This window comes from Homo sapiens, chromosome X (genome assembly GCF_000001405.40).
Source record: "Homo sapiens chromosome X, GRCh38.p14 Primary Assembly".
Taxonomy (NCBI): Eukaryota; Metazoa; Chordata; class Mammalia; order Primates; family Hominidae; genus Homo; species Homo sapiens.
The window spans coordinates 106,958,802-106,984,053 of NC_000023.11; the positions used below are offsets into that span (position 1 = coordinate 106,958,802).

The window sequence follows — 25,252 nt, forward strand, 5'->3', positions numbered from 1 at the left end:
CAAGCAAACAATAGGGTAATTTTAACTCTAAAATTTATTAACTTGGAAAAATTCTGTTTATTACTATATTACCAAGAAATAAAACCCATAGAATCATTTTGTTTCCTTCTGTCCAATCATGTAACAGGCTTAAAATCCATTTATGACAGCCATGGAAGCATTGCCATTAAAACATCTCCCTCATTTCCCTACAGAGACTCCTTATTCCTTTTCATTTCCCTCTCAAGAAAAACCCTTTGCTTATAATACTTCAATCAAAATTTTACTAGGTTGATATTCCCAAAGTTAATCTTAAAAAGTAATATAAATTTGATTAAATTTCATAACTAGAAATGGTGGTTCCAGACAGCAATGGGGTTAAATTAAGATAAAACTCTTCCAGAGTTCAACTCTTAAAATGCATACCCACTCTGATTCCCCTCAGTTACCTACACTTTAGAGTGAATTTGTTTCTCTGAGAAAGTGGTCCTTATATGACAGAAGTACTCAGTACCTAAGGTGTAAAAGACAGGCTACAGTGAGAATGAAGGCGGCTGGAGAAAAGACACACAAAGCAAGAAGAGGGGCACCTCAGCCAATTTCACTAACATGTAATTTAGCCTAGGATGAGATTTATGCATGTTATATTTATACTTCTTTTATACTAGATATTTCAACAGAGTGGTGCGGTTCTTTTATGTCTTAGTTCAATAATTTTCTTAACATCTTAAATTGTGCTTTTTATTTTCTTCTTGTTGTTGTTGTTTTTTCCTTTTAGACAGGGTCTCACTCTGTCTCCCAGGCTGGAGTGCAGTGGCACAATTTCAGTTCACTACAACCTCTGCCTCCTGGGCTCAAGTAATCCTCCCACCTCAGCCTCCCAGGTAGCTATGGGACTACAGGCATGCGCCACCACACCCGGCTAATGTTTGTACTTTTGGTAGAGATGGGGTTTCACCATGTTGCCGAGGCTGGTCTCAAACTCCTGAGATCAAACAATCCACCTGCCTCAGCCTCCCAAAGTGCTGGGATTACAGGCATGAGCCACCGTGCCTGGCTTTAAATTGTGCTTTTTTCTAAATATAAAAGTAATATAAGCTCATTATTAAAAACTAGAAAATAGAGAAATATATACAGAAAATAAAAGGCACTCATAATTCTACCACTGAAATACAATGCCCTCTTCTTTTTTTGAAACTCTGTTTGAACAAAGAAAGTTTGTACACATTTTTGGATCTACAGCTTCCTATTCCCTAGCTCCAGGCTGTTCCAGCCTTGCAACCTCTAAGCTCTAAGCTCAGGCCTGACCTCTGGTGTCTATATATTTCTAGACAGCCACTGTTTTAGAGCCAGAGTCAATAAAAAGCAGCTTCAGCAGTAGTGGGAGGGGAGAAGAAAGGTCCTATTAGCTTCGGTTCTACATGCATATGCATAGGAGAGTCTCTTGCAGAGTGCCAGTATTACTCTCTCAGGGATAGGCATGCTTAGAGGCAGCAACCCTCTGTTTCGGGTTCCATGCAGATCATGGTAGATCCTTCAATCCAGGCAGACAGGAGAGGCTTTTAGCCCATGCTTTCAGGAAATTGGTAGCTGAGATGGCTTTACTACATTCCCTTCATTGCATCCCTCCAGAAGAGAGCAGCAGTTAAGAACTTAGGTTTAGGGGACCTGATTACCTATATTTGAACCTTAGTTCTACCACTTGCTGCTTGTCTAACCTTAGGCAAGTTACTTAAGTTCTTGGTGTATCAGTCTCTACATCTGTAAAGAAGTAATAATAATATCTAACAGGTAGGGTTGTTGTGATGATTAAATAAACCACTGCATGTAAAGAACTTAGAACAGTGCCTGACATATAAGTAAGCGTTCAATAATTACCATTATTACAGTTCTGCCTCCAGCACACACACTCTCTAGCAGTATGTGAACATCTGTTTCATTGCATTAATCACTGCTAATTTGAAAGGCAAAAAATGGCATCTCATCTTAGTTTGTACTTCTTTGAAAACTATGGAGGACAGCCATAAGCTGAGATCTTCAGAATAAGAAGAGGGTGATATACATACAGCCATTAGGTTGCATTAGAAATAAAATTTTATATCATACATTTGCCTAATAATTTCCATTAAAATAATAGGTACCTACTCCAAAAAGAACTTTTACCACTCTAATGTTTGTCTTGATGGTGGTGTAACTGACTGTGTATGTGTTGGCACACATTCGATCCTCTGTATTATGCTCCTTACCTGACTTGTCTGTCTTAGAGTCAATAAATTCTACCTTTTCTTTAACATACTGGGTTCTCTATTCCTACTCTCAAGTACTGGTACAATCCCAGCAATATTCACTAGGAATATAAAAAAAAGGGGAAGTTTACTAACATGTCTGAACACCTACTATATGCCAGTCACTGTGCTAAAAATGTATGTCACCTAAGTTAATATATTCAGACAGGTGAAGTAACTTACTTACCCAAGCTCATCCAACTATTAAAAAGCAGATCCAGATTTTCAACCCAGGAACGTTTGATTTAAATAGCCATCATCTTCTACTATATCACACTACCAGTACTAAACTCTTCACATTTATGATCCAGACCGTAAATGTGTTAAAGCAGAATGAAGAGGTTTAGAGAATGAAGCAATTAGTACCTGTGAGTTCCTATTTTTAGTCAATTAAACTTCCTGATGTGAAAAGCACCATCTTACTGAGAGGTGAGGCCAGTTGGACTTCCTGGGTCGAGTGGGGACTTGGGGAACTTTCCTGTCTTACAAGAGGATTGTAAAACGCACCAATCAGTGCTCTGTAAAACGCACCAATCAGTGCTCTGTAAAACGCACCTATCAGCAGGATTCTAAAAGTAGCCAATCACAGAGAGGATTGAAAAAAGGGCACTCTGATAGGACAGAAATGGAACACGGGAGGGAACAATAAGGGAATAAAAGCTGTCCACCCCAGCAAGCAGTGGCAACCCACTCAGGTCCCCTTCCAAGCTGTGGAAGCTTTGTCCTTTCGCTGTTCACAATAAACCTTGCTACCACTCACTCTTTGGGTCGGTGCCATCTTTAAGAGCTGTAACACTCACCACGAAGGTCTGCAGCTTCATTCTTGAAGTCAGTGACACCACGAACCCACCAGCAGGAACCAAATCCAGACACATTACCCTTGTTCCTTCCATTTGATCTATGGATATTACCCCTAATACATTCATATTCTGTATGTATTACTTACGGTATTGGCCTGGCTACAGTTGAGGTCTCAAAATTATCTTGAGATGTTTTTTCCTTCCAGTAAGCATTGAGCTTCTGGGCAAGGGCATTTATTGTTAGCCTGAAAGAAAATGCAAGAAGTATGTCAAAGTTTAGCACTTGTTGAGCAATTCTTTGATCTTTGAGAAGTTCCCATTTAACAGACACCAATAATTTAGAGTATCTGGCATATTTTTGAACATCTACACTTTAAGAAACCAAGATGGGAATCCATTGCCTTTGCAAGCTACATGTCAAAATGACAAAGTTGTAACACTGAACAGTCACTTTGGTTGAAAAGGTGAAATGGTCACAAGTGCTAAAAAGTAGAGTTCTATAAATTTTCAGGGCTTGTTGAATCATGGAGTGTATGGGTAACTTGACATTAGAGACTATGACAGAGGACCAAACTGCAGAGATAGGATAGAGCCAAATATTGATAAGTTGATGGGGAGTTATTTGATTGTCAGATGACTACAGGTAGATAATTCAGAACAAGGTAAAAATCAGATGATCAAATACTATACCCTATCTATTATAAATCAATCAAATATTAACTCTAATATGTCTATATAGTCCCTCTTCATCCAAATGCTGATCATAGTAGCATTATGGTGCCCATGAACAAGCACTCCAACATTCTACCACATAGCCGTTACTGGAGGCTGTATCTGAGTTCCAGCCCTTGCTCTTTATTTCTCTCCCTAAAGGAACAACAGTAGACTCAGGGTCAACAAAAATGTAATTTGTAAAAATCAAAACCTGAATTTTACTTTTAAAAACTTCCAACTTTCGAATTACTAATTCCTATTTAATTCCATAACCCGAGATTACAACCTAATGTAGAGCTACACACAACTGGAAAACTGTACACTTAGAATTCAGAATTTTTTAAATATCTTGGCCCCCTGGATCATTCCCCAAGGTTTTTGCAGAGCTCTTCTCTTGTTAAGAGAAACTCTTCCTTATCTCTACCTTATTCATATTAAATTAGATTCTCACTAAATGGAAAAGATTAAAGTAATCATATATGAGCTCCCCTATAAACTCTTATTCCCCTTCAACCTATTTATGTTCCTACTCTATGTCTATATCCTTCCCTCAAGTCACAGATGAAGAACTATTCCTCATTTCCTCTTAAAAATCTACTTAAAATCTACTTTAAAAAGAAGTAGATTAGATGGGCATATGGGAAGATGGCAGAATAAGAAGCATGTGGAAGCTGTCTCCTTACATATACAACAACTGCAGTAGCAAAAGCTGCATGATGTAACTATTTTGAAACTCTGGAGTCTATTGGAAAGTTTGCAACTTCCAGGAGAAGGCTTGGATGGTAAATTGTGGTTAATTTTGGTCAATTTCAGTTCTTAGCTCAGTAATAGCTACCCATTCCCCACTCCCAGCCCTGTGGCAAGCAACCCTCCATGTGTTCCAAGAGCAACTTGTAGGAGCCAGTGTGGGCAAAAAGGACACTGTCCTCCAAATATTGCAATTCTATCCTCTGATCACTGCTTGCTGCTTCTGATCACAGATGTGAAGACAAAAAGGCAAGAGACCATTGTTGTTGAACCTCCCCCATTGTTTCAACCCTCTACTCCTCCAGTTGAAGTGACATCCAGAGGATTCAAAGTCCTGGCATCTCTTTTTCCTCCTCTATTTCTCTATTTTCCCCCTTTTGTGAGCCAGACATAAAGACAAGGACATTCAAAAGCAATTGCACATATGGGGAAAATTAGAAAGCCACTGTGAATGCCCAGAAAAAAATGCAAGCTGAGAAAAGAAGTGAAAAGACTTTAAACTTACTTCTCAGGTCAATCCTTGGCACAGAGAAAGCCTACAACATAACAAAAACAACAACAACAACAAAAAAAAACCCAGCAAACCCTAGGAAAGGAGAATTTTGTTTCCAGAGTTACCACATTATTAGATTCAAATGTTCAGTTTACAACAAAAAGTCACAAGGCATACAAACAAACAAGACAGGGCGGCCCACTCAAAGGAAAAAAATAGAAACCACCCCTGAAAAAGAACTGATAATAGATCAACTCGACAAAGATTTTAAAACGGTCTTAAAGATACTCAAAAAACTATATGAAGATGAGCAGAAAGTCAAGAAAACAATGCATAAGCAAAATAGAAAATCAACAAAGAGATAACAAACCTAAAAAGAAATCCAAAACAAAGTCTGGAGCTGAAAAGTCTAAAAACTGAAATGAAAAATCCACCGCAGGAATTCAAAGGCAGATCTGATCAGACAGAAAAAAGAATCAGTGAACTTGAAGATAAAAAATGGAAATTATCAAGTATTAAGAGCAGAAAGAATAGACTGAAGAAAAGTGAACAAAAACTAAGGGACCCATAGGACACCATAAGTGGTCCAACATATGCATTAGCAGAGTCCCAGAAAGAGAAGAGAGAAAGGAACAGAAAGAATACTTGAATAAATAATTGCCAAAAACTTCTCAAATTTGATGAAAGACACGAATATAAACATCCAACCTTAACTCCAAGTAGGATGAACTCAGAGAGACTCAGACCCAGACACACTGTAATCAAACCATGAAAGTCAAAGACAAAGAGAGAATCTTAAAAACACCAAGAGAGAAACAACATATTACATTCAAGGAATCCTTGAAGTTTGTAACTCCACTTTTTATTTTCTATATAATGTAAGAGAATACATTTAAAAGAAAAAAATTGGCCAGGTGCAGTGGCTCATGCCTGTAATCCCAGCACTTTGAGAGGCTGAGGCAGGTGGATCACCTGAGGCCAGGAGTTCGAGACTAGCCTGACCAACATGGTGAAACGCTGTCTCTACTAAAAATACAAAAGTAGCTGGGCATGGTGGTGCATGCCTGTAATCCCAGCTACGTGGGAGGCTGAGGCAGGAGAATAGCTTGAACCGGGAAGGGGAGGTTGTAGTGAGCCAAGATGGTGCCATTGCACTCCAGCCTGGGCAACAAGAGCAAAACTCCATGTCAAAAAAAAAAAAAAAAGAAAGAAAAGATAAAAATTTTGAGTCTGCAAGCCAGTATTATTGTAATTCAGTTTGTAACTCCTCATTTTGTTTTCTACGCAATTTAAAAGGCTAATCCATTACAAATTACTTATGATTTTGGACACACAATGTACAAAGATGTAATTCTGTGATAACAACTGAAAGGAATGGTGATGGAGCTGTTAAAGGAGCAAAACTTTTGTAAGGAATTGAAGTTAAGGTAGTATACATCCAAATTAGAGTGTCATAACTTAAAAGATATTAAATGTAATTCCCATGATAAGCACAAACAAAATAGCTATAGAATATACACAAAACGAAATGAGAAAGGAATTTAAATGTTTCACTATAAAAAAAATCACCTAAACACAAAAGACGGCAATGTAGGAAATGAGGGGCAAAGAAAGCTACAAGGGACACAGAAAACAAACAGCAAAATGACAGAAGTAAGTCTCTCCTTATCAGTAATTACTTTAATGTAAATGGATTAAATCCAGATTCACAAAGATACGATATAATGAAAAAGAATGTAGCGGATGCTACCTGGAAGAGGGGTACTACTATAACAAATACCTAAAAATATGGAAGTGGCTTTAGAATTGGCAATTGGCAGAGGTTGCAAAAATTTTGAGAAGCTTGACAGAAAAAAACCTACATTGCCTTCAACAGACATTAGTAGAAATATATATGTTAATAAATGCTTTCACTAATGAGGGCTCAGAAAGAAGTGAAAAGTACGGTAGAGAAAACACAAATTACCTTAGAGAATACCCAAATCATTGTAAACAAGAGTATTGGTAGAAATATGGATGTTAAAGGTATTGCTAGTGAAGGCTCAGAAGGAAGTGACGAACATGTTATTGGAAAACTTGAGAGAAGATGATCTTTGTTACACAGTGGCAGAAAGCTTAGCAGAACTGTCCTACAGTTATGTGGAAAACAGAACTTGCAAATGATGAAATTGGAAATTTAGCTGAGGAGATCTTCAGGAAAAGTGTTAAAGGTGTGGCCTGGTGTCTTCTTGCTGCTTATGTAAAATGCAAGAGGAGAGAGACAAATTGACGAATGAACTGTTAAACAAAAAGAAACCAGGACTTGATTACTTGGGAAATTCTCAGCCCATCCAGATTGCAAAATATGCTAAAATTTAGAGATTCACTGTCAGGAAAGTATGCTCTAGAGAAAAAGCTGAGGCTGGGGCTGAACAATCTTTTGATAATATCTCAGAAAATCAAAAGGTCAGAGCATTCAGTCACACAAACTACTCTTTGAAAAGATAAAGTGAGCGTTTCCAAGATGGCTGAATAGGAACAGCCCCAGTCTACAGCTCCCAGTGAGATCGACGCAGAAGACAGGTAATTTCTGCATTTCCAACTGAGGTACCTGGTTCATCTCATTGGGACTGGTTGAAGAGTGGGTGCAGACCATGGAGGGCAAGCCAAAGCAGGGCGGGGCATCACCTCACGGGGAAACGCAAGAGGTCAGGGGATTTCCCTTTCCTAGCCAAGGGAAGCCGTGAGTGACTGTACCTGGAGGAGTGGTACACTTCTGCCCAAATACTGCACTTTTCCCTCGGTCTTTGCAACCAGCAGACCAGGAGGTCCCCTCCTGTGTCTGGCTTGGTGGATGCCACGCCCACAGAGCCTTGCTCACTGCTAGCGCAGCAGTCTGAAATCGACCTGGAACACGGGAGCTTGGCAGAGGGAGGGGCATCTGCCATTGCTGAGGCTTGAGTAGGTGGTTCTATGTTCACAGTGTATACAAAGCAGCAGGGAAGCTCAAACTGGGCGGAGCTCACCACAGCTCAGCAAGGCCTACTGCCTCTCTAGATTCCACCTCTGGGGGCAGGGCATATCTGAACAAAAGGCAGCAGACAGCTTCTGCAGACAGAAATGTCCCTGCCTGACAGCTCTGAAGACAGAAGTGGTTCTCCAAGCACAGCGTTCAAGTTCTGATAACGGACAGACTGCCTCCTCAAGTAAGTCCCTGACCCCCGTGTAGCCTGACTGGGAGACACCTCCCAGTAGGGGCCAACAGACATCTCATACAGGCAGGTGCCCCTCTGGGACAAAGCTTCCAGAGGAAGGATCAGGCAGCAATATTTGTTCTGCAGCCTCCACTCGTGAGATACCCAGGCAAACAGCGTCTGGAGTGGACCTCCAGCAAACTCCAACAGACCTGCAGCTGAGGGGCCTGTCTGTTAGAAGGAAAACTAACAAACAGAAAGGCATAGCATCAACATCAACAAAAAGGACATCCACACCAAAACCCCATCCGTAGGTAGGTCCCCAACATCAAAGACCAAAGGTAGATAAAACCACAAAGATGGGGAGAAACCAGAGCAGAAAGGCTGAAAATTCCAAAAACCAGAACACCTCTTCTCCTCCAAAGGAACACAACTCCTTGCCAGCAAGGGAACAAAACTGGATGGAGAATGAGTTTGACAAGTTGACAGAAGTAGGCTTCAGAAGGTGGGTAATAACAAACTACTCTGAGCTAAAGGAAATGTTCTGACCCATAGTAAGGAAGCTAAAAACCTAGAAAAAAGGTTAGACGAATGGCTAATTAGAACAACCAGTGTAGAGAAGAGCTTTAATGACCTGATAGAGCTAAAAACCACAGTATGAGAACTTCGTGAAGCATACACAAGCTTCAATAGCAGATTTGATGAAGCGGAAGAAAGGAAATCAGTGATTGAAGATAAAATTAATGAAATAAAGTGAGAAGACAAGATTAGAGAAAAAAGAGTGAAAAGAAACAAACAAAGCCTCCAAGAAATATGGGACTATGTGAAAAGACCAAATCCACGTTTGACTGGTGATCCTGAAAGTGACAGGAAAATGGAACCAAGTTAGAAAACACTCTTCAGGATATTATCCAGGAGAACTTCCCCAACCTAGAAAGACAGGCCAACATTCAAATTCAGGAAATACAGAGAACACCACAAAGATACTCCTCGAGAAGAGCAACCCCAAGACACACAATGGTCAGATTCACCAAGGTTGAAATGAAGGAAAAACTGTTAAGAGCAGCCAGAGAGAAAGGGCGGGATACCCACAAAGGGAAGCCCATCAGACTAACAGTGGATCTCTGTGCAGAAACCCTATAAGCCAGAAGAGAGTAGGGGCCAATATTCAACATTCTTAAAGAAAAGAATTTTCAAACGAGAATTTCATATACAGCCAAACTAAGCTTCATAAGTGAAGGAGAAATAAAATCCTTTACAGACAAGCAAATGATGAGAGATTACGTCACCACCAGGCCTGCCTTACAAGAGCTCCTGAAGGAAGCACTAAACATGGATAGGAACAACTGGTACCAGCCACTGCAAAAACATGCCAAATTATAAACACCATTGACACTATGAAGAAACTGCATCAATTAACAGGTGAAATAACCAGCTAGCATCATAATGACAGGATCAAATTCACACATAACAATATTAACCTTAAATGTAAATGGGCTAAATGCCAAATTAAAAGACAAAGACTGGCAAACTGGATAAAGAGTCAAGACCCACTGGTGTGCTGTATTCAGGAGACCCATCTCACATGCAAAGACACACACAGGCTCAAAATAGAGGAATGTAGGAAGATCTACCAAGGAAATGGAAAGCAAAAAAAAAAAAAAAAAAAAAAAAGCAGGGGTTGCAATCTTGGTCTCTGATAAAACAGACCTTAAACCAACAAAGATCAAAAGAGACAAAGAAGGCCATTACATAATGGTAAAGGGATCAATTCAACAAGAAGAGCTAACTACCCTAAATATATATGCACCCAATACAAGAACACCCAGATTCATAAAGCAAGTTTTTGGAGACCTACAAAGAGACTTAGACTCCCACACAATAATAATGGGAGACTTTAACACCCCTCCATTGTCAACGTTAGACAGATCAACAAGACAGAAAATTAACAAGGATATCCAGGACTTGAACTCAGCTCTGGACCAAGCAGACCTAATAGACATCTACAGAACTCTCCACCACGAATCAACAGAATATACATTCTTCTCAGTACCACATAGCACTCATTCTAAAATTGACCAAGTAATTGGAAGTAAAACACTCATCAAATGTAAAATAAAACACAAAAAACTCTCTCAGACCACAGTGCAATCAAATTATAACTCAGGATTAAGAATCCCACTCAAAATCACACAACTACATGGAAACTGAACAACCTGCTCCTGAATGACTGGTGGGTAAATAATGAAATGAAAGCAGAAATAAAGATGGTCTTTGAAACCAATGAGAACAAAGACACAACGTACCAGAATCTCTGGGACACATTTAAAGCTGTCTGTAGAGGGAAATTTATAGCACTAAATGCCCACAAGAGAAAACAGGAGAGATCTAAAATCAACACCTTAACATCACAATTAAAAGAACTAGAGAAGCAAGAGCAAACAAATTCAAAAGCTAGCAGAAGGCAAGAAATAACTAAGATCAGAGCAGAAATGAAGGAGATAGAGACACAAAAATCCCTTCAAAAATTCAATGAATCTCAGAAGCTGATTTTTCGAAAAGAGCAACGAAATAGACAGACTGCTAGCAAGATTAATAAAGAATAAAAGGGAGAAGGATCAAATAGACACAATAAAAAATGATAAAGGGGATATCACCACCAATCCCACAGAAATACAAACTACCATCAGAGAATACTATAAACACCTCTACGCAAATAAACTAGAAAATCTAGAAGAAATGGATAAATTCCTCGACACATACACCCTCCTAAGTGTAAAGCAGGAAGAAGCTGAATCTCTGAATAGACCAGTAACAGGCTCTGAAATTGAGGCAATAATTAATAGCCTACCAACCAAAAAAAGTCCAGGACCAGATGGATTCACAGCTGAATTCTACCAGAGATACAAAGAGAAGCTGGTACCATTCCTTCTGAAACTATTCCAATCAATAGAAAAAGAGGGAATCCTCCCTAACTCATTTTATGAGGCCAGCATCATCCTGATACCAAAGCCTGGCAGAGACACAACAAAAAAAGAAAATTTTAGGCCAATATCCCTGATGAACATCGATGTGAAAATCCTCAATAAAACACTGGCAAACCGAATCCAGCAGCACATCAAAAAGCTTATCCTCCACAATCAAGTTGGCTTCATCCCTGGGATGCAAGGCTGGTTCAACATACACAAATCAATAAACATAATCCATCACATAAACAGAACCAATGACAAAAACGACATGATTATCTCAATAGATGCAGAAAAAGCCTTCGACAAAATTCAACAGCCTTCCATGCTAAAACTCTCAAAAAACTAGGTATTGATGGAACCTATCTCAAAATAATAGGAGCTATTTATGACAAACCCACAGCCAATATCATACCGAATGGGCAAAAACTGGAAGCATTCCCTTTGAAAACTGGCATAAGGATGCCCTCTCCCACCACTCCTATTCAACATGGTATTGGAAGTTCTGGCCAGGGCAATCAGGCAAGAGAAAGCAATAAACGGTATTCAAATAGGAAGAGAGGAAGTCAAATTGTCTCTGTTTACAGATGACATGACTGTATACTTAGAAAACCCCATTGTCTCAGCCCAAAATCTCCTTGAGCTGATAAGCAACTTCAGCAGTCTCAGAATACAAAATCAATGCGCAAAAATCACAAGCATTCCTATACACCAATAATAGAAAAACAGAGCCAAATCATGAATGAACTGCCCTTCACAGTTGCTACTAAGAGAATAAAATACCTAGGAATATAACTTACAATGGATGTGAAGGACCTCTTCAAGAACTACAAACCACTGCTCAAGGAAATAAGAGAGGGCACAAACGAATGGAAAAACACTCCATGCTCATGGATAGGAAGAACAAATATTGTGAAAATGGCCTTAGTGCCCAAAGTAATTTATAGATTCAATGCTATCCCCATCAAGCTACCACTGACTTTCTTCACAGAATTGGAAAAACCTACTTTAAACTTCATATGGAAGCAAAAAAGAGCCCGCATAGCCAAGACAGTCCTGGGCAAGAAGAACAAAGCTGGAGGCATCACACTACCAGACTTCAAACTTTACTACAAGGCTACAGTAACCAAAACAGCATGGTACTGGTACCAAAACAGATATACAGATTAAAGGAACAGAACGGAGGCCTCAGAAATAATACCACACATTTACCACCATCTGATCTTTGACAAACCTGACACACACAAGCAATAGGGAAAAGATTCGATATTTAATAAATGGTGTTAGGAAAACTGGCTAGCCATATGCAGAAAACTGAAACTGGACCACTTCCTTACACCTTATACAAAAATCAACTCAAGATGGATCAAAGACTTAAATGTAAGACCTAGGACCATAAAAATCCTAGAAGAAAACCTAGGCAATACCATTCAGGACATAGGCATGGGCAAAGACTTCATGTCTAAAACACCAAAAGCAATGGCAACAAAAGCCAACATTGACAAATGGGATGTAATTAAACTAAAGAGCTTCTGCACAGCAAAAGAAACTATCATCAGAATGAACAAGCAACCTACAGAATGGGAGAAAAATTTTGTAAACTATCCATCTGACAAACGGCTAATATCCAGAATCTACAAAGAACTTAAACAAATTTACAATGAAAAAGCAAACAACCCCATCAAAAAATGGGCAAAGCATATGAACAGACACTTCTCAAAAGAAGACATTTATGCAGCCAACAGACATATGAAAAAAATGCTCATCATCACTGGTCATTAGAGAAATGCAAATCAAAACCATAATGAGATACCATCTCACGCCAGTTAGAATGGCGACCATTAAAAAGTCAGGAAACAACAGATGCTGGAGAGGTTATGGAAAAATAGGAACCCTTTGACACTGTTGGTGGGAGTGTAAATTAGTTCAACCATTGTGGAAGACAGTGTGGCGATTCCTCAAGAATCTAGAACTAGAAATACCATTTGACCCAGCAATCCCATTACTGGGTATATACCCAAAGGATTATAAATCATTCTACTATAAAGACACATGCACACGTATGTTTATTGTGGCACTATTCACAATAGCAAAGACTTGGAACCAACCCAAATGTCCAACAATGATAGACTGGATTAAGAAAATGTGGCACATATACACATGGAATACTATGCAGTCATAAAAAAGGATGAGTTCATGTCCTTTGCAGGGACATGGATGAAGCTGGAAACCATCATTCTCAGCAAACTATCACAAGATCAGAAAACCAAACACCGCATGTTCTCACTCATAAGTGGGAGTTGAACAATGAGAACACATGGACACAGGGAGGGGAACATCACACACTGAGGCCTGTAGGGGGTGGGAAGCTAGGGGAGGGATAACATTAGGAGAAATACCTAATGTAGGTGAAGGGTTGATGGGTGCAGCAAACCACCATGGCACGTGTATACCTACATAACAAAATTGCACGTTCTGCACATGTAACCCAGAATTTAAAGTATAATAATAAAAAAAAGATAAAGCCTGTGACTCACAGATCTCCATAGCCATCTCAGCTGGAGCCAAAAAATAGATATAGGATTCCCTAGGAAAGACCTGCCAAGAGCCTCTTGTTGGATGACATGAATATACATGACACGCATGGGAGACTCACAAGGTTCTTAAGAATGGCACGCTAGCATGAAAGCTAGCTTGAGGCCGGGCACAGTAGCTCACACCTGAAATCCCAGCACTTTGGGAGACCGAGGCAGGCAGATCACCTGAGGTCGGGAGTTCAAGACCAGACTGACCAACATGGAGAAACCCCGTCTCTACTAAAAATACAAAATTAGCCGGGCGTGGTGGCGCATGCCTGTAATCCCAGCTACTCGGGAGGCTGAGGCAGGACAATCGCTTGAACCCCAGATGGGGAGGTTGCGGTTGCCATTGCACTCCAGCCTGGGCAACAAGAGCAAAACTCCATCTCAAAAACAAACAAACAAACAAAAAATCAAAACAAAAAGCTAGCTTGAATTGAAAGGGATGGAGAGAATCCTGTTTGACCCTCAAAATTCTACAGTCAGGAAACAGGCTGATGAAACTACTCAGCTGCCAACACATGCTACCCTTCAGGAAAAAGGAAAGACAGCTTTGAGGGTGGAGCCCTAAGTCCAGAGGGCAAAGCCTCAAGACTAGAGGATGAAGGCCTTGACATTTAATGGAATGTGCCTGGCTAGATTTTGAAAATGCCTGTGACCTGTGACCCCTTTTTTCCTTTTAGTTTCTCCCCCATTCAAACAAGAATATATATAATTAGTATCCTATGCTTGTCCCACCACTGTACTTTAACAGCAAAATACAAAAAAGAAAATACATATCCACAGATGTAGAGGAGTTTTGCCCTAAGATGTGCCATACTCAGAGTATTGCCCTTATGTGATTTAGATAATGAGATTTGAGACTTTTGAGCTGATGACATTTACATGAAATTTTTGACTCTGCATTGATGCTGTAATGGGTAGGGACTTTTGGAAACGTTGGGACGGGGTGAATATATTTTGCATATGAGATGTAAGTGGAATCTGAGAGAACAAAGGGCAGACTGTGATAGACATAATAATGTTTACACAGCAAGTGGGAATTTAGGTTACTCATCAAGTTGACCTTAAGATAGGAAGAATATCCTGAATTATCCAATGTAATCACAAGGGACCTTAAAAGTAGAAGAGTGCAGCAGAAGAGTCAGAATCAGAGAAGATGTGATGACAAAAGCAAGGTCATCAGAGTGATGCAATATGAGGACTCAACCTGTCACTACTAGCTTTGAAGGTGATGGAAGAGGGCCATGGGCAAGAAATGCTGGCAGCCTCTATAAGCTGGAAAAGACAGGAAAATGGATTATTCCCTAGAGCCTCCAGAAAGGAATGCAGCCCTGCCAACACCTCGATTATAGCCCAGTAAGATCTGTGTAGGACATCCAACCTACAGCACGCTACGACAGTAAATTAGTATTGTTTTCAGCCACTAAGTTATGTGGTAATTTGTTATGACAGCAATAGAAGACAATTTCTGTGGTTTATAGACAGAAGTTGAGTATCACTGTATTTCCCTCAAAGATGTAAAATACCTCATGGCTCTCCTATGAATTCATTATGTGTAGCTTAGTATGTAATTTAGGAATGATGGTTCTAGGACAGAGGTCAGCAAACTGGAGCCAAATCCAGCCCACTGCCTGTTTTTGTAAACAAAATTTTATTAGACATACCCATGCCAATTCCTTTACTTATTGTCTATGGCTGCTTTCATACTACAGCAAAATCAAGTAGTTGTGACCCTTTCTGGCCCTTTTCAGAAAAAGTTTACCAACTGCTGCTCTGGGGTATGGCTCTACTCTACTCATTTAACTTGATTTGCCTTCACTCTAGCTATATCCTGTTATCTCCTCTCTCCATATTCTTACCATTCTGAGTTCCTGTCACTACCTTAGCTCATGCTACAATTCCATCCTAGAATTCCCTTTCCTCTCTTCCACATCTTATATCATGTGAGACATATCTCAAGTCATACTTTCTACCCAAAACCTTCCCCATCTCCTATATCAAGGCATTTTCCCCATAACATACTACTTAGGTTTTGGTTGATTAAAGAGCTTTTTTATTGCTCGCCAAATTACTTCATATATGTTACAATCTGTTTATACAAATGACTGTAAGCTCCACAACTGTTAAAAGTGGTATTACAGATGATTTATTTGTAGACATTCCAGCAGTATGATGGCTGGTATCTCTTTTATCATTTGCAGGTTTTGATATCTATAATACTCATAGGATGAGTTTGTTATAGCAGACAACCTTCTCTAATCCCTCTCTTAAATTCCTTTTTTTAATTTAAATACCTTTTCATTTTATATAAAATAAATTGAATAAAAAAGGGCAATGGTGCCAGAATTGGCATGAGTTATGCAAATTTGTTATCCTCAAAAGACTGTACGCAGAATAGTATACTAGTTCCCTGTTTTTAATAAAGTGTGTAGCAGATGTTATGCTAAGTAAGTCAGAAATCCTGTGTGTTCAACTGAATAAATCTACTGTCTACAGACTATCTCTATCTGATCCACTGCAATCACCTCATCATACCAAAACTAGACATCAAAAACCAAAGATCTAATGCCTGTAAAATTTTAAAGGTAGACTTGGGGGGTTGGTGGCAAAGATGATATAGAAAGATGTTAAATAATTTTTAATATCTAACATTTGAATTTCACAAATCTTAATTATTTAGGTAGTCATCAGCAATTCACTATTCCTTTCACTCAATTGAAACATAATAACTTGACTCGGAGACTTCTGTCAAACTAATGTCATTCCTAAGCTTTCACTTAGAGTTAAGTCCTGGTCAAAGATTTCCATTATGGGCCAGATTTACATTTAAATGACCATTTTACTTAGACTGAGGGCAGGTAGTTGTCATAACCACTGAGTAGCCCAAGTAACCATGAACCAATTACCCTGAAATTAATTTGGAGTTGCCATTCAAATAGTTATCTCTCTCAAACACTAAACCTAAAATTCTTGTGGTTACAGACAAATTAAGGTACAAGACTTGACTTTATTACAGTTTGGGCACAAAACAAAAGAGATTTGGGAAATTTCTTTTCTCCCACTCTAAGAAAAATATTTGCTACTGAGACTTCAAGGAAAATGACCGCAAATGTCCTCATGCCTTCTTTCTCCATACTCCCAGAATACCTCTTACCCTTTTTTGCCCTTACAGATACTTCCCTCTGCTTAGAATGTCCTTCCTCTATTGTCCACCTAGAAAACTTTTCCTTCATATTTAATATCAAATATAATCTGCTTTGTGAAGCCTTCCCTGACTCCCTTAAGCATATTTAAAGTTCTCCCCACTTTGCACATACCCCCTATTAAAGCAATTATTTTATAAGTATTTAAGTTTCTTATTTGCATACATATTTGTTCATAGGTATCAAAGAGTCTTATTTTTCATCCTTAGTACCTGGCACATAGAAGCTGTCTCATAATACTTAATGAAATAAAGACCCATCTCCCTCTCGACATTTTTTAAACAAACTATTCTAACCTGGCTTTAAAAACTCCTTTCGAAAAATATCCCTACTGGTTCAGCCATAATGTCGAGTTCCTTTCAGATTCTTACCTGTTTGCCTGCCCTATTAAATCTAGATGCTTTAATGAAAGCACATGTCTTTCCTGCTGTTCCATCACTTTGCTCTAAATCTGTTCACTGGCTTCAAGAAAAATTTTTGGAACAAATTTCAAACTGCTTTTTTTTATCCAATGTATTCCATAACTTCAGATCCATTCATCTGTTTCCATTAAGATCAATTCCAAAGCTTTTCATTTCCCCAGAAATCTTTTACCAAATTACTCCTATGCTCTTTGCATAATTTCTAAAGGTAAGGTTTATCTCAACGAGACTCCATATATCATTCAGCAAACTTTAATTTAAAAATGAAAGCATTTTATCTCTAATCTTGGAAAACAAATTTGAAGTAATTCTCAGTTAACTTATTTAGCTGCTTTTTAGAGATGGTTTTAGAGGCTTTAGAGAACAGAATCATATCTGAACAAACTAACGGAAGCACCTCAGGTTGGGAGTGACTCACCGGTACTCCTTGGTATACTCAAAGTCTTGTTTGTTGTAGGCAGGTTTTAGGAAATTGCACTCAATGACTCCAATTACTCCTACACCTTCTCCACGAGTTGGCTTAGAAGAAAATATTAATTTCAACACTTACATTACTGTTGGCTGCCTGGAGGCATTTCCTTTTGATTCCAAACAATAATAGAAAGGTTACATAACCTTCATGGGCAAGAAAAGACCATCAAGATCTAGAGAAACACTTAGAATGTACATCAACAGACTGCAAGCATTAAACTGAACTAGAAATTCTGACAAATTCTAGGGCAGAGATTTTCAAAATATGATCCATAGATCCCTAGGAGTCTTCTGCAATTAGTAGCCATCTCTACTTCACCCACACTACCTCCACTTTTATCTGCTTTATATTCCAGGACTGCCATAAGACTGCATTTGAATAAAGAATTACCGTGCTAAAAAACCAAGGTTATATACTACTGTTCTAAGGAACTGAAACAAATATTCATCTGAAAACAATTTTAAGGGTTCTGTGTGATCCTATATTAAAATAAACAATTTTCCCACATACATAGGCCACCAAACAACTACTAAAGAGTCACACTTACAGCAATTATTAATTACAAGTTGACGCAAGAGTTTTATAGATTTAAATCATATTCTAATTCTTTAATGGAAGAAACTAAGTAAAGGTGTAATTGGACTGGAACACAAACACGAGTTGTCTAAAGGTGCTATAACAAGGGAAAACAAAATAGGCTGAAAACGAGCTATCCTGGGCTTTATATAACTGTCTTACTATGTTGAAGCAGTTCATCATTTTTTGTGCTTTAGCAATCTTATCTGTAAAATAGGAATAAAAGGGATACTTGTAGACATTACTACTTTAAATAATCATTAAGACATTAAAGATGATGGTAAAATTTGTATAGAGTGGTTTAAAAAATATTTTCACATAATTTATCCCATTTAAATCTCTCAACCCTGTAAGCTGTGAGGCAGGCAAAGCAGGTATGCTTATTATTGTTGTTTCCACTTTACATAAAGGTCAGGAAATTGAGCTTCAGATAAATTAAACAATTTATCCAAGGTTACACAGCTTGTAAATGGAAAATTCAGGACCCAAATCCTGGTCTTCAACCACCATATTTTATATGCCTTCCACTATGCCTTATTGTCTCTCCAAGAAAATGGAGTTACCTAAAACACAAATAAGCTGACACACATGGTAAGCTTGCTGGTATTCTAATTCTGCCTCTTATTGACAGCTACTTAGAAAATGCATTCAGTAAAGTTGTTGGGTTGATTAACAGCTGAAGAATGAGAGTTAGAAAGAGATTTCAACACAAGACAGCTCACTGGTAACACAATTCCAGGATCAGAATTCAATAAGCATCATAAGATGGGAGTAAAAGCCATTAATGAGCCTATCCCCTTTGCAAATTTTAAATTCTCTTCCTACTCTTTTCAGCCTCCTATGACAAAGAAATATTAACTACTCACCTTCACCTGGCACCCCACCTTCTCAAAAGATTTTATGAGTCGGTTGTTATGATACATCATTATTCCAAACTGGTTACTATTCTTGCAAGAGAACCCAAAGGTGATTCTCACCTGCTTATTCTGAGAAGAACATCGTTAAGGAGACAAACATACCAGGGGCTTCAACGACAAAATTTTACACCATATTATAGCAAAAACCATCAAATACCAAGGGACATAAATTGGTACAACCTTTTTGCGGGCATTTAAACATCTGTTGCAATAGCTTTAAGAATATTCTTAATATTTGACCAAGTAATTCTCTTTTTAAGAATTTATCCCACAGAAACAGTCAGGGAGGCCCACAAACGTTAAGGAATTACAGAGGTTTTTCAATTTGTTATAAAAGCAGAGAAACAGAAATAATTTAAATGTTCAACAATAAAGAAATGATTAAATAAATGTTGATATAGCCATATGCATCTCTTTTAAAATTATGTCCTTGAAATATTTGAGAATATCAGGAAACGCTCAGATTATAAAAACATCACACACACACACGCACACACACACACACACACACATGCATAGAAAGACTGTAAGAAAAGATACCTAAATACCATCAGTGATTTAAAAATTGACAAATAATCATAAAACATTTCTTAGCCCTTGCTAGTTGCTCAGTTTGCTGCTAGGGCACATAGGTTCTGATAAGAGCTGTAAATGGTCCAATACAAATCTGTACAATTATATCCAATAAGGTAAATCCTTCTTACCATACCAAACACAATGAAAGCAAAAGCAAAGGTAAAGAACAATGAATAGTCCTGTAGTGATATATTTCATGGGAAGAAGTTAACAAGCTTGGATAAATGAAATGAAGACAACTGATTATTATAAGTAAAACATGAATAATGATGAGTTTTTAACAAGTCCTACTTAATTTAAAAACCAAGGTAAGTAAGTGAGAAAGATAAAGGGGAGATAGAGAAACTGAGATTTTCATTAAAACAAATACTAAGAAACCTTCATGTCTAAATGAGTTGAATGAAAATTTACTTTTGTTACTTATTCAAAAAATGATCTCCATGCCCCCTCTAAAAGACAAGCTACTTGCATCAAAACCCTATAACAAATGGGTCACATATGATACAAAGACATGACTCAAGTGGGTGCATAACACAGTAATGTTTGGCTCAGAATATATAATGTTCTGGGCTCTAGCAGTTCATATAAAACCTCAAATAAGACCTATTCTAACGCAAAAACAAAACAAGACAAAACTCCTGCAAGCAAACAAACCAAAATCCTATGCCATAAAATTATCTTTGTAAAGATAAAGACTGTCAAATTTTTCTTTCTGTTGTGCACTTTTAAAATTCTAAATTATGGAGTGAGGGTACAGTGGGGTAGGAGACACCAAATTAGCATAAGGAGAGAGAACAAAGATGAAAGAAGTGGCCTTTGATAATTGAGAAGTAAGTAAGTTAGTATCAATGATCTTGTTCCTCAGTGACCTTGGGGGAAATTTTATTAGGACTTTCATTTTACTCATGTCTACAGTAAATCTGTTTAGTCCAAACTATAATATCGGAAGGTAATTTGGTTTAATGGGAAGGGAGTCTGAGAAGAGTCGAGGTAACATATAGAATGCATGCATAGAAGTTTCCCTGATAGAAACCCACAAAAGAAAAAAGCTAGAGACAGGTATGTGTTATATCCTAACACAGTAGTTGGCAAGCACTTCTTTAGACTGGCTCTGTTAAACCTATGGCACCAACATCCTAGTCTACATATGGTGAGATTATAACTAATTCACCTATAGAAGCAAACAATGCTAGCTCTGGCTTTATTAAATTGATTTGTTTATGCTTTAAGAAAACATTCCTAGTAGCCAAGATATGTGTTCTCAAAAAGGAGAAAAAAGAGACCAACGATTTCTCATTTTTGGTCAGGGAAAGACAAAGCATGCTAGATAATGCCTTTGATAAAGCAAATAGAGTGTAAACATGTTTCTCGGGCCAAGAGTGGTGCTTAGTTACTAGAAAATAAATTAAAAGGACAATTTTTCATAACCTTGCAAGTTTTCAGCCTTTCAAAGATGTTTTCTGCCCCAAAAGCCATCAACAAAGTTGTACCTAATTTCCATAGTTCATCTTAAGATTTTTTTCTAGTTTCTGAAATCCATTCTCAATGCTATGCAAGGGAGAGGTAGAAGTAAAAACAAGTAATGGCTCCTCTGAGTGGCTACCATTATGAAAAGTACCAGGAATTTATGTCAAACCTAAGAAGATTTACTTCACTCTAGAAAATCACCTTTTAATTTCCACCCTCCTAATTTCAATCAATGTAAGTCTGGACCTGTTCCAACAAAAAATTGCAGTGCATCTACAAGATTAAGACGTTCTAGTCAGTATTTTGCTAATTTCAATCAATTTAATATATATCAAAATCCAGTACAAACCAAATAATGTGTATTATTCCTTATAGCAGAGGTTCTCAAACCTGGCTGCTCATTAGAATCAGCTGAGGATTTTAAAATAAATAAATAATTCTTATTTTTTTTAAAAAAGGTTTCAGACACTACTGAACCAGAATCTCCAAAGTCTCAAGATTCTATTATTTCAACAGTTTCCAGGTGATTTCTGATAAAAATGGTACACAGATTGGCATTTAAGAAAGACTTCCTCAGAGTACACTGTAATAGAATGTGTACTATGACATACACTTTTTAATTTGAAAGGGAAAGTTTTTGTTTTTCTGTGTCAACCTGAAAACTTAATCCTGAAATAAAGAGGTCAACTTCATGTAGTGGTACACTTGTAAGGATACTGTGAAGGTAGGTTTATATGTATCATATTCTACATTGGCCAGGCTCTTGGCAATCATCTGGGTAGTCACCTTCTTTTGACGCAGAAAAATTTTCATGCGTGGCTTCATGTATAGAATACCACAAAATGCCTACGGAACAGAATGGTGAAGGGAAAGTTATTATGTGATATTGCCAATTCTGCTGACATCCCCATAAAACACTGCTACCAACTGATATCTATGCTGGGCAAAGATTTGGCTCAGTTTCTATACCTTATTACACTATGTAAACTACCACACTAAAGTACTGCTGACTATATTATCTAAACGGTCTCAATGGAGACAATAAAAAGGAATACTAGCACATGGCTGGAACGTTGTTATCTTTGTATAACTAAAAGAAGATCTTGTTCTATAATATTTTCAGGTTACAGGAAATCTTACCTCTCATTGTTGAAAAACCATTCTTACTTACCCTTAAAGAATATTCTGTTTCTGGTAGCTCAGAGGTAACACCGCCAGTCATTTTTTCTTCTGTGTCAAAGTCTGATACCAGGATGTCATATTGATCTGTATCAAAGTCCAACTCAGATTTTCCATTTTTATTTCTGGGGAAAAGAGACAAGTACCAATCTAACAAAAACTGGCTCCAGAGGACAAAAAAATGCACTAGGAGCCCAAAAGAAAAAAAAACAATATGAGCCAAAACTCAGGTATCTGTTTCTTTCCCTGACTACCAGTGCAAAGGAACTACAAACTACTTGGGTAGAGGATCAGACAATACTTAAGGGTATTCCCATTCTAAACAAATCTACTCTTTCATAGAGGTGATGATGCCACATTCATAAGGAAAAAAGAATGTGGAATGTCTATGATCTGATAAATCAAATGGATGTCAGCTATCCTCAAAGTGGGATCTTGAAATAGACACAAGCTTTCTGGGTATTGTTAGTAAGTCACTCAACATCATTTTCCCCAACTGAATAAACAGATGAATCAAAACCCACTTCTACCAACTTCAGACTAATAAGACACTAAGATCTCCCCAGATCTAATCTTATTTCTTAAAAGGAAAAAAGATTGTTACAAAAGCAGCATATATTTAACTAGTCCTCTAGGATACCATTTATAGAATTATCATTTAAACATAATGGTACTAACATTCCTTTCATAAGGACCTTTCTTGTTCCCATAATCTTTTTGGGCCACTTGGTTTTGATCCATTCCAAGACCCTGAGCTATATCACTAACCACTGCCAGGGAAAAAACGTTAAGACCCATCTTTATTCTTGGAAAAAACTCAAATGACAGGTTTTAGTAAAAATGTATATATCAGAACAGTACTTCCCAAAATTTGTTCTGTGGAACAGTAATCTCACAAGATACTCTTAAAAAGAAATAAATACATAAAAGTTCTATGATCAAATAAAATTGAGAAATCATTCTTAGCCCTCAGAGTCAACTCGAGCTCTAGTGATAACTCTGCTTCATACTTCAGGCTCTATAAGCTCAGAGCTGCTGTGTTGAAATTGTAGCTCCTTTTACAGGGCTGCACCAGAGCCATTATGGTCTGTTGTCTGCATCATGCCCATGTCAATGTATAATAGCTTATTATGGATTTTCCAGGATAATTCTGATTCTCACTACCCCACCTGACCCCAATGCATATGCCCTGAGGAGATTCTCTATCCTCCTTGTCCCTCACATTCCCCATCTAAGGAAAAAAGGTCTGTAGAAACATTTTCTTAGAGACAGGGTCTTTCTCTGCTGCCCAGGCTAGAGTGCAGTGGCATGATCATAGCTCACTGTCGCCTCCAACTTCTGGGCTCAAGCGATTCTCCCATCTCAGCCTCCCAAAGGGCTGGGATTAGAGGTGTGAGCCACCACCCAACCTGAAGAAATACTTTTTAAAAATTGATTGGGAAATACTTCATACTATATTGCTCTTTTACATATTTTCAACGCACATTAGTATATTAAAGGACTCCAGGACTCTCAGAAGTCCTACAATAAAGCAACACAGTAAACTTTAAGTCAGCTTTTCCCAAATTTGTTTGACCATGTAATCCTTTATTTATACAGGTTGAATATCCCTTAACTGAAATGCTTGGGACCAGAAGTGTTTTGGATCCTTTTGGATTTTGAAATATTTGCATTATACTTACTGGTTGAGCACCCCTAATCCAAAAATCCAAAATCCAAAATGCTCCAATGATCATTTCCTTTGAGTTGTCATGTCTGTGCTCAAAATGTTTTGGATTTTGTAGCACTTCCGATTTTAGATTTTTGGATTAGGGAAAGTCAACCTGTATACCACCTAGTACCATATACATAACTGGGAAACGACATACAAAGAAAAAGTTCTGTTTAAGATATGTAAATCACTGGAAATACCTCAAAAAATTCTTTGTAATACAAACTATATTACTTGAGGTTTTCTCAGTAGGACACAGGGAAGATCTAAATTACCAATGTGTGAGTCACACTTCTTTTAATTGTTAAGTACAGTACTCTCTATATAAACTAGCATTGTTTTTATTTGTTTTACCCAGGTAAATGAGACAAAATACTTCACCTAAGGAGAAAAGGAAGAATACATTTATCCGATAATCTTTTCTATTAAACATATCAGTAATACCTCTATTTTATATTAAAGGTTTTTAGGGTTATTTTTTAGTGTTTAGGTGTTAATCCATTCTTAAATGTATTCCATTAGACATGCTAAGATTAAACAAATGAAATAGCATAAAGTATTTCTAGATTTTTATTAGTTTTGAAGACATGATCTTAACCTAGTCTCATTATAGTTCATATTTATCTGCTTCAAAGATTTTTTCTACTTCTTTTTTTTTTTTTTAAAGAGACAGGGTCTCATTTTGTTGCCCAGGCTGGTCTCAAATTCCTGGCCTCAAGTGATCCTCCTGCCTTGGCCTCCCAAAGTACTGGAATTACAGGTGTGAGCCACCACACCTGGCCAGATTTTTCTACTTCTAACCCAGCTACTGTGAAAGCACTAACACAGAACTCCTTATTTTTTAAAGATCTTATTGTGCTTTGTTTACTCTAATTTTTTTTCTCATACTTCATTGTCATTGTCTAATAGGTAAAATAACTATCAATTACCAAACTTAAAAAAATGCCTATTGGCCAGGCACGGTGGCTCATGCCAGTAATAGAGGCTGGG

General features: G+C 37.8%; 1 protein-coding gene across 2 annotated transcripts in view, besides 1 other annotated feature; it reads right to left on the reverse strand.

The window, feature by feature from the left end:
* The window catches only part of MORC4 (MORC family CW-type zinc finger 4), a 59,475-nt gene that overhangs the window by 18,064 nt on the left and 16,159 nt on the right, over positions 1–25,252 (reverse strand). For both annotated transcript variants that reach the window (NM_001085354.3, NM_024657.5), the window contains exons 6-10: positions 22,544–22,676; positions 22,090–22,218; positions 19,279–19,398; positions 17,783–17,883; positions 3,211–3,309 (exon numbers count right to left, since the gene is read on the reverse strand). In NM_001085354.3, coding sequence (NP_001078823.1) covers positions 3,211–3,309; positions 17,783–17,883; positions 19,279–19,398; positions 22,090–22,218; positions 22,544–22,676 — 582 coding nt within the window. The remainder of the gene's footprint in view (positions 1–3,210; positions 3,310–17,782; positions 17,884–19,278; positions 19,399–22,089; positions 22,219–22,543; positions 22,677–25,252) is intronic.
* Positions 7,339–7,839: an enhancer, noted in NCBI's record as "H3K4me1 hESC enhancer chrX:106209370-106209870 (GRCh37/hg19 assembly coordinates)". NCBI's record gives its function as "activates a minimal SCP1, AML or CMV promoter by ChIP-STARR-seq in primed H9 embryonic stem cells {active_cell/tissue: H9 hESC(primed)}" and the evidence as "EXISTENCE:reporter gene assay evidence [ECO:0000049][PMID:30033119]".